The sequence below is a fragment of the Homo sapiens genome, chromosome 13, assembly GCF_000001405.40.
Source record: "Homo sapiens chromosome 13, GRCh38.p14 Primary Assembly".
Taxonomy (NCBI): domain Eukaryota; kingdom Metazoa; phylum Chordata; class Mammalia; order Primates; family Hominidae; genus Homo; species Homo sapiens.
Window position 1 is genome coordinate 61,074,070 of NC_000013.11, and position 15,525 is coordinate 61,089,594.

Consider the following 15,525-nt stretch of genomic DNA (forward strand, 5'->3'; position numbering starts at 1 on the left):
TACTTACAGTTACTTGATTAATGTTGTCCTTTTCACAAAATTATAGGTTCTATGAGAGTAAGAGCTACTCCCGTCTCATTTATTGCATTGCTAGTGCTCAATAAATATTTTTTGACAAACTGATTGTCTTATTCTCTATGGAGTTGTTACTCTGCACATTTATCCATTCAATAGATGCTGATATTTTTAAGGTAAGAGTAACTCAAAATATGAGAATTTATTAAGGATTTCAAATTTTATTTAAGTGCTCAGATCAGTCCACATCCAGATTGCATTATTCCAACTTCATTACAGTTTTAGCATATGTATAAGCCTGACTTGGAAACTACCATCATTGAAAAAGAGAGAGACCCAAAATGACAACCTGGAGTTGTATTAGGAGCACATCTTTATTTATTTTCACTTCCCTATAAACTTATTATGGGTAGTCCTGTGATGCTTTAAAATATTTTAAAAATAAACATCTTAAACATGGATTTTCTGTTTGACCTAAGTTTTTTATTTTTTATTTTTTAGACAGAATCTCACTGTCACCCAGGCTGGAGTGCAGTTGTATGATCATAGGTCAAACTCCCAGGCTCAAGCGATCCTCCCACCTCAGCCCCCCAGGTAGCTGGAACTACAGGCATGTGCCACCATGGTTGGCTAATTTTTTTGTATTTTTTTGTAGAGATGGGGTTTCACCGTATTGCCCAGGCAGTGACTTAAGTTCTAGTGATTGACCTTCTCAGAGAGAAAGAGTGATGAGCTTAGAGATTTTCTCCCTTCATTTTGTAGGGTGTTGGGAGTTAGATCTGAGATACATTATAGATAATTCATGATTGAAACTCCCTTGTGAGTTAAGACAAAAAATGTAGCAACTAGTCACATAATGACTTGCAGGTTTCAGTTCAATGAAAAAAAGAAAAATTTATCTTGGATATTTCTGGGTATATTAGATGATATAGATTGGAGAGGGAAACAGAGATTGAAAGGAACCAGGATAATATGGTTTGGTCTGTGTCCCCACCCAAATCGCACGTTGAACTGCAATCCCCAGTGTTGGAGGTGGGGCCTGGTGGGTGGTATTTGGATCGTGGGGGTGGATTTCCCCATTAGTACTGTTCTGGTGCTAGTGAGTGAGCTCTTGTGAGAGCTGGTCACTTAAAAGTGTGTGGCATCTCCCTCACTTCCTCCTGCTTCCACCATGTGAGATGCTTCACTCCCCTGTTGCCTTCCACCATGGTTGAAAGTTTGCTGAGGCCTCCCCAGAAGCAGACGCTACCATGCTTCCTGTGCAGCCTGTGGAACTGTGAGCCAATTAAACCTCTTTTCTTTATACATTATCCAGTCTCAGGTATTTCTTTATAGTAGTGTGAGAACAGACTAATACACAGAGTTGGTACCACAGAGTAAGGCATTGCTATAAAGATACCTGAAAATGTGGAAGTGGCTTCGTAAACTGGATAATGGGCAGAGGTTGGAAGAATTTGGAAGGCTCAGAGGAAGACAGAGAGATAAGGGAAAATTTGGAACTTCCTAGAGACTTGTTAAATTGTTGTGACCAAAATGCTGATAGTGATATGGACAGAGATGGCCAGGCTGAGGAGGCTGCAGATGGAAATGAGGAACTTATTGGGAACTGGAGCAATCGTCACTTTTGTTATGCCTTAACAAAGAGGTTGGAGGCATTGTGCCCCCTGCTCTAGGGATCTGTGGAACTTTGAACTTGAGGGTAATGATTTAGGGTATCTGGCAGAGGAAATTTCTAAGTATCAAAGCATTCAGGATGTGGCCTGGCTGCTTCCAACAACAAATGCTCATATGCATAGACAGAGATATGATGTAAAATTGGAATTCATATTTAAAGGGGAAGCAGAATGTAAGTTTGAAAAATTTGCAGCCCACCTATGTGGTAGAAAAGAAAAGCCCATTTTCAGGGGAGGAATTCAATTAGGCTGCAGAGATTGGCATAAATAAAAAGAAGCCAAGTGATAATATCAAAGACAATGGGCAAAAGGCCTTGAAGCCACTTCAGAGACCTTCACAGCAGCCCCTACCTCATAGTCCCAGAGGCCAAGGGGGGAAGAATGGTTTCATGGGCTGGACCAAGGGCCCTGCTACCCTGTGCAACCTCAGGAAAGTGCTCCTGCATCCTGGCTGCTCCAGCTCCAGCCATGACTCAAAGGGACCAAGGTACAGCTCTGGCCACCGCTTCAGAGGATGCAAGCCATAATTCTTGGCAGCTTCCATGTGGTGTTAAGCCTGTAGATGTACAGAGTGTGAGAGTTGAGGCTTGGGAGCCTCTGCCTAGATTTCAGAGGATGTATGGAAAAGACTGGATATCCAGTCAGAAGCCTGCTGAAGGGGCAGAGCCCTCCTGGAGAACCTGTACTAGGGAATGTAGAGGGGAAATGTAGGGTTGGAGCCCCCACACAGAGTCCCCATGGGGAAACTGCCTGGTGGTGCTGTGAGAAGGGGGCCACTGTCATCCAGACTCCAGAATGGTAGATTCACTGGCAGCTTGCATCTCTCACCTGGAAAAGCTCCAGGCATTCAACGCCAGCCTATGAGAGCAGCTGTGGCCACTGTACCCTGCAAAGCCACAGGGGCAAAGCTGCCAAAGGTTATTGGAACCCACTGCTTGCCCAAGTGTGCTCTGAATGTGAGACATAGAGTCAAAAGAGATTATTTTGGAGCTTTAAGATCTAATAACTGCCCTGCTGGGTTTCAGACTTGCATGGGGCATGTAGCCCCTTTATTTTGGCTGATTTCTCCCTTTTGGAATGGAAGTATTTACCCAATGCCTATACCCATCGCATCTTGGAAGCAACTAACTTGCTTTTCATTTTACAGGCTCATAGGTGGAAGGGACTTGGCTTGTCTCAGATGAGACTTGGGACTTTGGACTTTTGAGTTAATGCTGAAATGAGTTAAGACTTTGGGGCACTCTTGGGAAGGCATGATTAGACTTTGCAATATGAGAAGGACATGAGGTTTGGGAGGGGCCAGGGACAAAATGACATTGTTTGGATCTGTGTCCCCACCCAAATCTCATGTCAAATTGTAACCCCCAATATTGGAGGTGGGTCCTGGTAGGAGGTGATTGGACCATGGGGGTGGATTTCCCTGTTGGTGCTGTTCTCATGATGGTTAGTTCTAGTGATCTGGTTATTTAAAAGTGTGTGGCACCCCACTCCTTCCTCCTGCTCCCTCCATGTGAGATGCCTCGCTCCCCCTTTGCCTTCTGCCATGACTGAAAATTTCCGGAGGCTTCCCAGAAGCAGATGCTGCCATGTTTCCTGTACAGCCTATGGAAACATGAGCCAATTAAACCTATTTTCCTTATAAATTACCTAGTCTCAGGTATTTCTTTATAGTTGTGTGAGAACAGACTAATACACAGGGATTAGAATCAGTGTGGTAAACTTGGAAGTTATATATACACAGGCAGTAGAGGAGTGGTGCTTTAACTCTATACAAGAAAAATTGAGCAGGGAAAGATAGAAAACTTAGAAAGAATATAGTGTTCAAACTCACTGTCACTGTCTGATGCTGTTACTTTTTTCTCTGTCTTAGGTGGAGCTAGTCCAGAATAGAGTCTGTTACTGTTCACTTATGCCTTGAATTTCCACTGATCTTCTCCAGCTACAATTAGTGACCTATTATGGAGTCATTAAGATAATTAGCAGATATTCACTACAGTTGTAGCTGAACATAGTCTATGGATTCAGTCATGTTTGCTTCTCCTAAATATGGATATACACAAAAGCTGCCATTGAATATTAAAATTACATGAGGAAATTTAATCAGCAGGTGTCATATTTTAGCCCATTATCTTCTGATTAAATAGTAGTTGTCTGTGTTATGACATGAAGTTTATGACATTTTTACCAAAGTTGAAAACATATCAAATGGTTTGATATGTTGATAATTAAAATTCGGTGAGTTGAAGGTGATGAGTAACTTCTCAGACAGGCTTATTCAAATACTCAAATATCTTTTAGATGAGAAACACTCCTCCCTAGGAGAAATAATACATTTTAACGGTCTAAAATTTGGTAACTTGCAGATTAACAGTCCATAATTTTTAGCCTGGAGTTAAGTGATATGCATTTGGTGTGACCTATAATTAATTAATTCATTCATTCTTACCCTTCTCTTGCCTTTTGCCACTATCCGAAGGGACATGTCATTATGTTCTCATTAGCTCCAATTCTGACTTTATGCCATATTTTATGGAGCTAGCAAAGACTCTTGCAGTATAAAATGGTACTTTAATTTCAAAAATGTATTGACCTTAGTTGGTATGTGCACAAGATTATTAGAAACATAAAAAAAGTATATTCAGTAACATCTAAAAAAAATCAAGTTAATTTACCTTCATTTCTACCCTTTGGTTAATAGTATAATGGTTGATACTGACCAAGGTAGCCTAAACGAGTTTCTCTCAGCTTGACTAAATTTTAGATAGGGTTCTTTCTGATTCCTGATCTCCCTCCACCCTTTTTTTTTTTTTAAAGAGTATTTACTTTAGAAAACTTGTAATTGTAAATTATTTCTCTGCCCTTTTGAGATGTAAATTTTCTGCAACCTAGGAATATCTTTCTCGAGAACTTGGAAGCCATCACTATCATCAAGATAGTTCCCCATTTCCCAATCTCTGTGGGAAAGCAGGAGCATAACTTCAAAAAGAGTCAATCAGAAAACATGGATAGCCTGATCACGTTGACCAACTTCCTCCAGCATCTTCCTGTACTTCTCTACTAGCTCATCCTAGTGTTTATAAACTTTTCTGTCGTTCATGTTAATGGAATTGAGTTCAATCTTTCTCCTCTATTGCAATAGTCTGTCTTTACCATTGCAATAATTTTGAATAATTTTTAGACTGTCTGATGTAATTTTTATTTTGCAATACATATCCAGAAGCACTTAGGAAGTGTCTGACATATTTCTAAGTGCTTTCAAATATTAATTTGTTTAATTTCATGAAAATCCTGTGAGACAGACTGTAAATTGAAAATAAATCGAAGTTCCCCAACCAACTGAATTAGACCCCTCCTCTTGGCCAAGGAGACTTTAAAGTAAACTTGAAAAACTAGTTCAGGCCATGGTGAGAAGGGGTTGGGGGTGGTCAGACATGCCTCATTATGCTTCTTCCTCCCTTTGGAATTCAGGCACAACTGACCAGCACTAACATTAAAACAGATCTTAAACAGATAAAACAGACTCTTTCCAGCAATAAGAAACCAAATTCCAACCTGACTCTAGTATAGCATCACATGACAGATAGTAAGGCCTGAAAGAAATTGAAGTATTTCATCTCAAAATACATTTCTTTGACATATCTTAAAATGATCCTCCAAGATTGTCTTTTATGGGGAAAATCTACATTTTGTAGAGAACCCCCTTCCCTTTCCAGGTCTTTTCCTGATCCAGAAAAGATTTAACTGAGAGTCTGGCGCCTTTTAAGTTCTGGTAAGAGACATTTACCATCTATTCTTTCTGAGGCTTGTCACCTGGAGGTTTCATCTACATGATAAGAAACTTGATCTCCACAACCCCTTATCTTAACACAGCCACTTCTTTATATTGATTCCAGGTCTTTAGATAATAACTTAGGTCTTTCAATCAATTGCAAATCAGAAAATCTTTGAATCCACCCATAACCTGCTTCAAGTTGTCCTAACTTTCTCGACTGAAACGATGTGTACCTTACATATATTGGCTGATGTCTGCCTATAAATTATGTTCCCCTAAAATGTATAAAATCAAGCTGTAACCCAACCACCTGGGGTTCATGTTCTCAGGACCTCTTGAAACTGTGACTCAGGCTTTGGTCACTCATATATGGCTCAAGATAAACTTCTTTAAACATTTTACGAAGTTTGACTCTTTTTGATGACAATGCTGTTATTCCCATTTTACCGTATTACGTAGAGATGTTCACTTTCTCCGGAGAGTAAGAAGGAAACAAAGACTTATTCTGTCTCCCGTTACTCTTGACTCCCATAAACACCCACTTCTAACATTCCTGTCACTCTTTTCTTTTCCAACTAAAGCTGATCATTAATTTTTACAGATTGTATTATTTATTTACTTGGTTAATATTACACATATTGACTCCTACTGTGTGTCGGGGTTGGTGATAAAATAGCAGACAAGACAGATATGATTCCTTATGACATAACATTTATAGTCAGCGAGGAAATGGACAAGAAACAGGCAACTTTGTTGAAGTGGTAAATGATACTCTGAAGCACATAAACTGGGTTTCTAACACATGTCTGGTGGTACTGGGAGAGCCTCTCATGAGAAGGGACCACTAACCCGAAAACAAATCAAAGAAGAAGAAAGAGATGCAGGTAAATGTTTTAGGCTTGGAAAATATCACATTCAAAGCCTAGAGATTGCCAAGAATATAAATGAAATAAAAACAATAATACATGACTAAAACAAAGACGGTGTGTAAAGAGCTGGGGATGGTGGAGAAAGATGGAGTGAAGGTATGGGGTGACAGTAGTTTTATGTCAGAAAATTTAAGTCAAGTCCATCATTTTTGGCTTGATCATCCGGGCAATGAGGAGCTATTTGAAGAATTTTGTGCAAAAGGGTGAATACTGTATTTGCAGCTTTTGAAAACTCTCTGACAGAGAAGTGAAGTGGATTGAAAAGGGCAACAATGAAGGCAGGAGGCCATTTTAGGTGACTGTTGCAATAATGATGGACTTAAACAGAAAAATAGTGAAAAAAAGAAAAATCAACAGATTTTAGGAGCACCTCTAAAACTTTTGGATTTGGTTGGGTGGGTGATGGAGAGAAAGGTGTCAAAAATGCCACCCAGATTTCCAGATTGAGTAACTTCAGTAACTCAGGTGAAAATGCAAAATTTGTTGGGAAGACGGAGAGATCACTTCTGAAATTGTTGTTCTGCCTACAGTAGGCCTTTGCTACTTGATTCTACACAAGTGCCTGTGTTCAGGGCGTGGACTGGTGTAGTTTTTACTAAGTTATTCATGAAGGAGCAGAGATTATTCCAATTTGACTTGTGATGAGAATGACATGTGTTAAAGTTTTTGATCCAGAATTAAAACCCAGAATTCTTGATATCTCATCTGTTCTTGCTGCCTGGCAACCCCAAATTTCTAACATAATTCTAAATGTAGGATTGAAGGATATTTTTTACTTAATCTCTTAAAAGTCTTTTGATAGAGTCATGATAGATTATTAGGGAAACTTTGTAACTGCATAAAAGTAATCCTGTTAGGAAGTATTCATGACAAAGTTGTAGTAATTTTTTTGTGTGTATGGTGCTCTCTAAAAGTTGTAGGTAGAAAAAAGTTCTAACACAGGTGTTTTTTTTTCTGTCTCTTGGGTATGTGTATGTGTAAGTATAAATAGATGAATATATATGTTAATTATATATGTATAACAAAATTTAGATAAAGATTACAGAATAGCTAAATCTTTTTATTTAAGAAAAGAACTGTTAAATAGAAAACACCTATCTTAAATGAATCTCCAAAAGTTTTATTTTACATTTTAGCCGCTCCACTGCAAAGAATATTTGGATTAAGACTATAACTGTGTCCTGTTAATGTCCAGAAAAATGTGCATTAGCTGGTGGCTCAAATCTTCCCTAGTATGTGCACTTGCTTGTTAACATTCTGCAATTGAGGTAGTTAATGCTACAGTTAGCTCCAAGCAGGTGTGTACATTGTTAACAGTACTCTTTCAAAACAAGGGCCTTTGGCAAACTAAGTGGTCTGCCCATGTTAAATTAGGCCATAAAGTGAAATTGGGCTGTTTTACATTTTGAGATAATTTCCCACTTAGTTCTGATTATCTTGCATAAGCACTATTCAATGTTTGTTCATAGACATGATGTATTTGTTTTGAATCTACTCAATTTAAATAAGCTCTTTTCCAAAAAATGTCTCAAAACATCTTTAACATTTTAAATGGTTATATTTGGCTACACTCCAGATAGAACTGAAATAGAAAATAGAAGGGGTTGAAGTTTTAGTATTTGAAAAATTGTATTTTATTAGATTATTTTTTGCTTAAACTTTTCTATGCTAGTATTTAGTTGATGTAAATGAAATTGGCTGAGTGACACTGTTGAACAAAAGGGATGGGAATAAAAACTCCAATGCCAAATCAATGATAATACTTTTAATCAGAGTTAATTGATGCCAGCTGTGTGGTCTGCGTGTTATTTTGCATTTGTGGGTGAAGAAAGGTGTGGTTGCTGTTATTTCAATCTAGAAGCTGGAACTGGTTGCCAGTCATTAAGAAGGTATGGATAGGGGCATGCTTGGTGTTAATTGTACAGAGAAAACACTAAGTGGTTTAAGGGGTACAGTGTAATTTTGACTATCAGTGTAAGATGTTTTAGTTCTTTTATAATCACAGAGGTGCAAATCATAGACCTGCTATTTAGTTTTTAGTCTGACTTTAAGAAAACATTATAGGTCTCCTTGATGATGCTGTTAATTAATTTGTTACAGTATTAGATCTAAATTATTATTAAAAGTTAAAGTTAATCACTACCTCTTCCTTAAACCTTATTTCTGAAAATAAACTATTATAATTTAAATTATAATTTAAATTAACATTAACTACCCTAACCACAAAACAGTTCCTTAAAACACACATTCATATAAAAGTTATTTTGATGATCTATTTGGACAAGTAGATTTCTAATTTGACTTTGTTTTATTGTGGAGAAATGACAGCACTAAATTTTCTTATTGGCTTTCACTTGGGTTTATTACTAACAGCCTGTTAATAGATAGTTAATCTATGTGTTTAAGGAAGGAAATGAATAACAAAGATATCATAAGACAATTATTATTTTCATTGCCTTGAGATAACTTTTATATGCTAATTCCAAACATGAAATTATTTCTAATTATCCAATATAGACTAATTGATGCAATGATAGTGGATCCATGGTTTAGTTGAGCACTTACTTGAAACTTTTTGAAAAGTGATCATGTTCAAAGATAAAACATTCATCTTTAGGTAATCCTGATCATTGGAATGTCTTTTTTTTTTTTATCTTAAGCCTTAAGTCTATGTATTTGTGGCCTTTAAATTGTGCAACTCCTTTCATTTTTCTTCTTATAAACAAAAATGAAATTGGTTGTGAGCACCAGATAAATTGGTGAAGAAAAAAAGAATAATCCTAAGAGATTTGGTTTCCAATTAGAAACATAAGTCTAGATTTCAGATATGAAGGGATCTGCCCTATTCTCTTCTACATCCAATTTAGAATGTAAGTATGAGAAAAAATGGAAGATGTTATGGGAGTATATAAAGCATACTGATTATTTGAACTTATCTTTCCACTGGTTTTTAACTTTATGGCCAATTTCTTGTAAGTAGTTTTTAAATAGTGACAGATGTTATTTAATAATCAAAATTATCTGCGTGGTATAACACAAAGAGAGATTCTAGTGTAAATTATGAACATTATTTAATAACATCAATATTGGGTCATTAATTATATACCACATTGATTCAAAATGTTAATAATGGGGTAAATGTGTGTATTTGTTGGAACAATGAGAGTTGATACATATAGAGGCTCTGTACTTTCTGCCAAATTTCTCTGTAAAACTAAATAAAGTTGCTCTAAAAATAAAGTCTACTAATTTAAAAAAATTCTGTTAGAAGTTACAAAAATAAAGATTCTTTTTTTTTTTCTTGTTAACAAAAGACAAATTAGATCCGTGGAGGCAAAAGAATTTTGTTTTCTAAAAGAATCTATAGACTGGGAAGACAGAACCTCCAGTGTAAAACACAAGTGTGGTCCAAAGAGGACTGGGAGAGTAGAAGATTTTATTAGCCCATTCCTGCTTTGCTATAAAGAAATATCTGAGACTGAGTAATTTATAAAGAGTAGAGGTTTAATTGAATCATGCTTCTGTAGGCTGTACAGGAAGCATGATGCTGGCATCTGTTCAGCTTCTGGGGAAGCCTCAGGAAACTTTTACACATGGAAGACGGCAGAGCAGGAGCAGGTGTCCTCATATGGCCAGAGTAGAAGGAAGAGTGGGGGAGGTGCCACACAATCTTACACAACCAGATTTTGTGAGAACTCCATCAGAACAGCACCAAAGGGGAACATGGCCCCATGATCCAATCACCTGTCACTACGCCCCACCTCCAACATTGGGGATTATCATTTGGCATGAGATTTGGGCAGGGACACAAATCCAAACCATGTCAGAAATTATTAAGGCAAAAATTGCAGGGCAGGGGAGGAACATCAAGGTAGTGTGGATCACAGTGTTGATTGGATGACCTGTAAGCCCCAAATCACCAGTCTGTCTTAATTGTCTGATTCCAGGAAGCTGGTTGATTGGTGCCAGGTGGTCTGTTGGTGGTCAACTGGGGAATTTCCAGCTGTATTTGTTTTCAGGAACTGTTCATGAAAATAGATTCTGCAATACTTTTTAAGGACACAGCATGACTGCTCCCTTACTCTGCCATGATCTCTTGGTTCTGCTTTTAACTTTTGAGTCACAGAGAGTCCATCTTGCCTGCCATCTGGGGGCATCATTTGACACTTTAGTACTCCCACTACCCCCACCAAAAAACCCTATCTTCTTGGTAACTGATAACTATTTATTTTCAGAGGGACTTAAATTAACTACTACTAATTGTTAAAGTCTGAACATGTTTGGAGTTACAAATGTTGGTTTCTCAAATGCCCATTTAATGCACCCAAACTCAGAATAACATTCTGATTTCTCTATTCTAAACTCTTAACAAATCTAGAATGTTCTGTTTTTAAGATTCATGTCTCTCTCTTACATGTTTATTTCATTAAAAATATGATTATTCTTTAAGAAAAAATCTTATTAAGTATATCATTTTTAAAACTGAAAATGTTAAAGTGTAGCAACTTCCACTATAGTGTCACATGACCCTTTTTCAGGTACACAATTTTAAGATTATTGGTAGCATGAAATATGAGTTTTTGTGTACAGGATTTGTGAGGACATTTTAATTTTTCTGTCTTATTCATTGGTAGAATAAATGAAACATTAGTCATCAAGCTCACTCTTCCAACCCACCCAACTTTTCTCTCTTCTAAACATTTTCAATATAAAGAGAATTGAGATATTTTCCAATATGAGTCATTCCACCTATAAATCTTCAACATAATGCAGAAGAGAAAATGTTACTCAGCTTTTCACTGCATAAGGTTTTGCCTGTCAGTTTGCATTAAAACATCTTTCAGGACTATTATTTGTAGGATGAATTTGCTTTAAAATTGTTGATTGTGGTTATTTTTATACTCTTTGTTTCTTCTATTGAAATGCAAAATACTAAACAGTTTGTTTCAAATGCTAAGTATTACAGAGATTCATCTCCTTTTCAAGGTAACCATAAAAGGAAAAGAGTGAGAGGGAGAGAATGTAGAAACTCTGCATGATGACCCTTTCAGTTATATGATCTTCATAAATAAATTCACGATTTCACTAAATTTTCCCCCTTGTATTATTAGAATTACTTCATGTACACATACATATACAGCAAGCCTGAGGCAAAAAAGACCTTCCTCTCTTCTGATTTATTTTTAGGGTCTTGTTAAAGAAAAAAAAAGTATTCTGACATCTGAAGGCTGTTGTGATAGGTATCAAGACTACAATAGGAGAGAGAGATTGGGTTCAACTCCAAATACAGAAAAGAACAAGTGGGGATTTTTAGTCAAGGAGTAGGTTAGGGGAGAGGGGTGGTGGTGGAAAATACCAGGAGAAATTGTCAAGGGTAGGGAAGATTCTTGCCAAACTTACCAGGATTCATGATGAAGGCAGGTCAGGGTGATCAGATCGAGGGGGCAGATTGTCTCAAAATTGACTTAGCATGGTTCTTGCTAAAACTGGGATATTTATGTCTGTCAATGATTGGGGGAGGCAAGGTAGAGGGGCCTAGAAGAGGATTTGGAGGAGCCTGATTTAAGTTTGCTTAAGAAGAGTATCATTTTAGTCTTTCGATGTGATGATGTTGCTCATCAAATTAAAAACTCTCTAGTGAAATATGAATATTTTGCTTCTCTCCATAGCTAATTTTGGGGCTCAGAAAATGATATCCCAAAATGAAGGCCTCAGAAGCAAGTTTTTCTCTGACCTCACCCTGCTTTCCTGTCGCTCACTCTCATTCTCCCCTGAGGCTAGCTGGAGGAACTAGCATGCCTCTTCCCTAAGTCAGGACACAGAAACCAGAAACTTTTTCCCCAAACCAGCCATCAAACTTAAAAATACTACTCTAACTCAGTCATACACTGTGCCTTTCTGTGTAGGTCATAAGACCCCCATTCCAGAGAGTGTCCTGCCTCATACCCACAAGGAAGGAATGCTGCACAGAGGAGAGGAAGAATCTAGACCAGGCCATGCTGGGTTTCTCACTCAGTCTGTTAGGTTAGCATTAGATCATGCCCTTTTAATCCAATCGTATTTCCACATGGCTGTCAATACTTTGTTGACCCTGGGCATAAAAATGGACAATTTCCCGTGTATCTTTGTGTTTTGATTCTAAAGGCTCTTGTGTCACATAAAACTATGATCAAATAAATTTTATATGCCTTTTCTCCCATTAATCTACCTTTTGTCAGTGATTTTCAGCAAACCTTCAGAGGGTAGATAGAAAGCTTTTCCTTGGCCCCTACACTAAAGATAAACAATAACAAAAACTTTTCAGAAAAATTATATTGGCTTTTTGCTATATCTCTTAATTGAAAAAAAAGATATCTTTATTTTGTTCTGTTGGTGAAGAAACATTGTTAAAGCTTTGAGTTTCTTACATACTGATATATAAAATATAAACAATTAGTTGAATTTATTTAAATTTTATTTTTTGCAAAAACCTTAAAAAATGGTCCAACTGGAAAATCAAGCACATTCTATAATATTCCAGATCACTCTGGATTTGAAAAGAACTTCTGATTGTTAACCTCTGACAAATACCAGTTGATCACACCTTCATTTCACTACTATCTCTGCAGAAAGTTAAAATGTTTAAGTTTATTGTTTAACAAAAATCTACTCAGAATCCAATATATCTTAAATTGAACATTCTTAGGTGAAATTTGATGTGAAACTGATGTGAGTATAAATCAAGCATAATGTGAATGCATACCTGATTCAAATTTATATGATATGTAAGATACATACATATGGATAGATGATAGATTAGATACAAATATAGATAAATATAGATAGATATAGAGACATATCTCTGGAGTAAAGAACATTTTTTAAAGATGTAACATATATTTTATAAGAATAAATTTATTTTAATCAACACCTATTTTAGAAGTATGTGATAATAATAGAAAATATTAGTTGAACTGCAGTTGACCCTTGAAAACACGAATTGAACTGTGAAAGTCCTCTTACACATGGATTTTCCTCTGCTGCCTCTGAGACAAGACCAATTCCTATTTTTTCTCCTCCTTCTCAGCGTACTTAACATGAAGACAACTAGGACAAAGACTTTAATCTACTTCCACTTAATGAATAGTAAATATATTTTCCTCATGATTTTCTTAATAACATTTCCTTTTCTAGCTTAATTTATTGTTAAAGCACAGTATATAATACAGATAATATACAATTGTGTGTTAATCAACTGATTATGTTATTGGTAAGGCTTTTGGTCATCAGCAGGCTACTAGTGTTACAGTAGGTAGCTAGTCAAACGTGAGCAAGGCAGGAGAGGGCTCACCTCCCAAGACACACACACCAGGAATGTCAGGTCACCATCAGGTGATGATCAGGCAGCTGTTAAAGGTTTCTCTAAAATAATAACTAGTCGCAGCTGGCACCAGGGAAAGGCATTCTCCCAGTAGATAGAACAAATGTGAAACTAGTGATCAGCAGCTTCAAGAAAAGATCTCAGGAGTTGGATGAATGGGCTCAAGCATGCACATAAGAGGCAAAATGGTAGAGTTTAACTGGTATATGACCTTCTAGGAACATTTGGCCGGTAAGGGAAGAACGCTTCAAGTGAGCATGCATACAATTCCAGAAAACACACTGCACTGGAGTTGTGCTGGTCTCCCAAGTGCTATCAGCCCACTGTGCATGCAGACAGCCCACACCAAGGAAGGAATCAGGGGAGAAGGGGTGCAACACCCTGGAAGTATGCCAACATGTAAAACCCTAAGTCAAAAGCCAAGCAGTGCACTTGTCTTTCAAGTCACCCACTTGGCCCTCTTCCAACTGTACTTCCTTTCATTCCTGCCCTAAAACTTTCTAATAAACTTTCACTCCTGCAAAAATCTTGCCTTGGTGTCTCCTTCTGCCTTATGCCCCTTAGTCAACTGATTTCTTCTGAGGAGGCAAGAATTGAGGTTGCCACAGACCCTTATGAATTCACTGCCAGTAACATTAGTGTCAGGCCTCTGAGCCCAAGCTAAGCCATCATATCCCCTGTGACCTCCACGTACACATCCAGATGGCCGGTTCCTGCCTTAACTGATGACATTCCACCACAAAAGAAGTGAAAATGGCCTGTTCTTGCCTTAACTGATGACATTGTCTTGTGAAATTCCTTCTCCTGGCTCATCCTGGCTCAAAAGCTTCCCTACTGAGCACCTTGTGAGCCCCACTCTGCCCGCCAGAGAACAACCCCCTTTGACTGTAATTTTCCTTTATCTACCCAAATCCTATAAAACAGCCCCACCCTTATCTCCCTTTGCTGACTCTTTTCAGACTCAGCCCGCCTGCACTCAGGTGAAATAAACAGCCTTGTGGCTCACACAAAGCCTATTTGGTGGTCTCTTCACACGGATGCGCATGAAATTTGGTGCTGTGACTCGGATCGGGGGACCTCCCTTGGGAGATCAATCCCCTGTACTCCTGCTCTTTGCTCCGTGAGAAAGATCTGCCTATGACCTCAGGTCCTCAGACTGACCAGCCCAAGAAACATCTCACCAATTTCAAATCTCGTAAGCGGCCTCTTTTTACTCTCTTCTCCAACCTCCCTCACTAACCCTCAACCTTTTTCTCCTTTCAATCTTGGCACCACACTTCAATCTCTCCCTTCTCTTAATTTCAATTCCTTTCATTTTCTGGTAGAGACAAAGGAGACACGTTTTATCCGTGGACCCAAAACTCCGGCACCGGTCACGGACTTGGCAGGCAGCCTTCCCTTAGTGTTTAATCATTGCAGGGAGGCCTCTGATTATTCACCCACATTTCAGAGGTGTCAGACCACGCAGGGACACCTGCCTTGGTCCTTCACCCTTAGCGGCAAGTCCCACTTTTCTAGGGGGAAAGAACCCCCAATGCCTTATTTCCGCAACCCAACCTCTGATCTCTGCACCCTGATCCCTTATTTCCACGCCCCGACCTCTTATCTCTGTGCCCCGATTCCTTATTTCCATGCCCCGACCTCTTATCTCTGTGCCCCAACCCCTTGTTTCTGCACCCCGACCCCTTTCCCGCTTTTCTGGAGGGGAAGAACCCCCGAACCCCTTCCCTCCGTGTCTCTACTCTCTTTTCTCTGGGCTTGCCTCCTTCACTATGG

The 15,525-nt window shown here is 38.2% G+C and overlaps 1 annotated feature.

The window, feature by feature from the left end:
• Positions 14,270–14,836: an enhancer, noted in NCBI's record as "OCT4-NANOG hESC enhancer chr13:61662473-61663039 (GRCh37/hg19 assembly coordinates)". NCBI's record gives its function as "activates a minimal SCP1, AML or CMV promoter by ChIP-STARR-seq in primed H9 embryonic stem cells {active_cell/tissue: H9 hESC(primed)}" and the evidence as "EXISTENCE:reporter gene assay evidence [ECO:0000049][PMID:30033119]".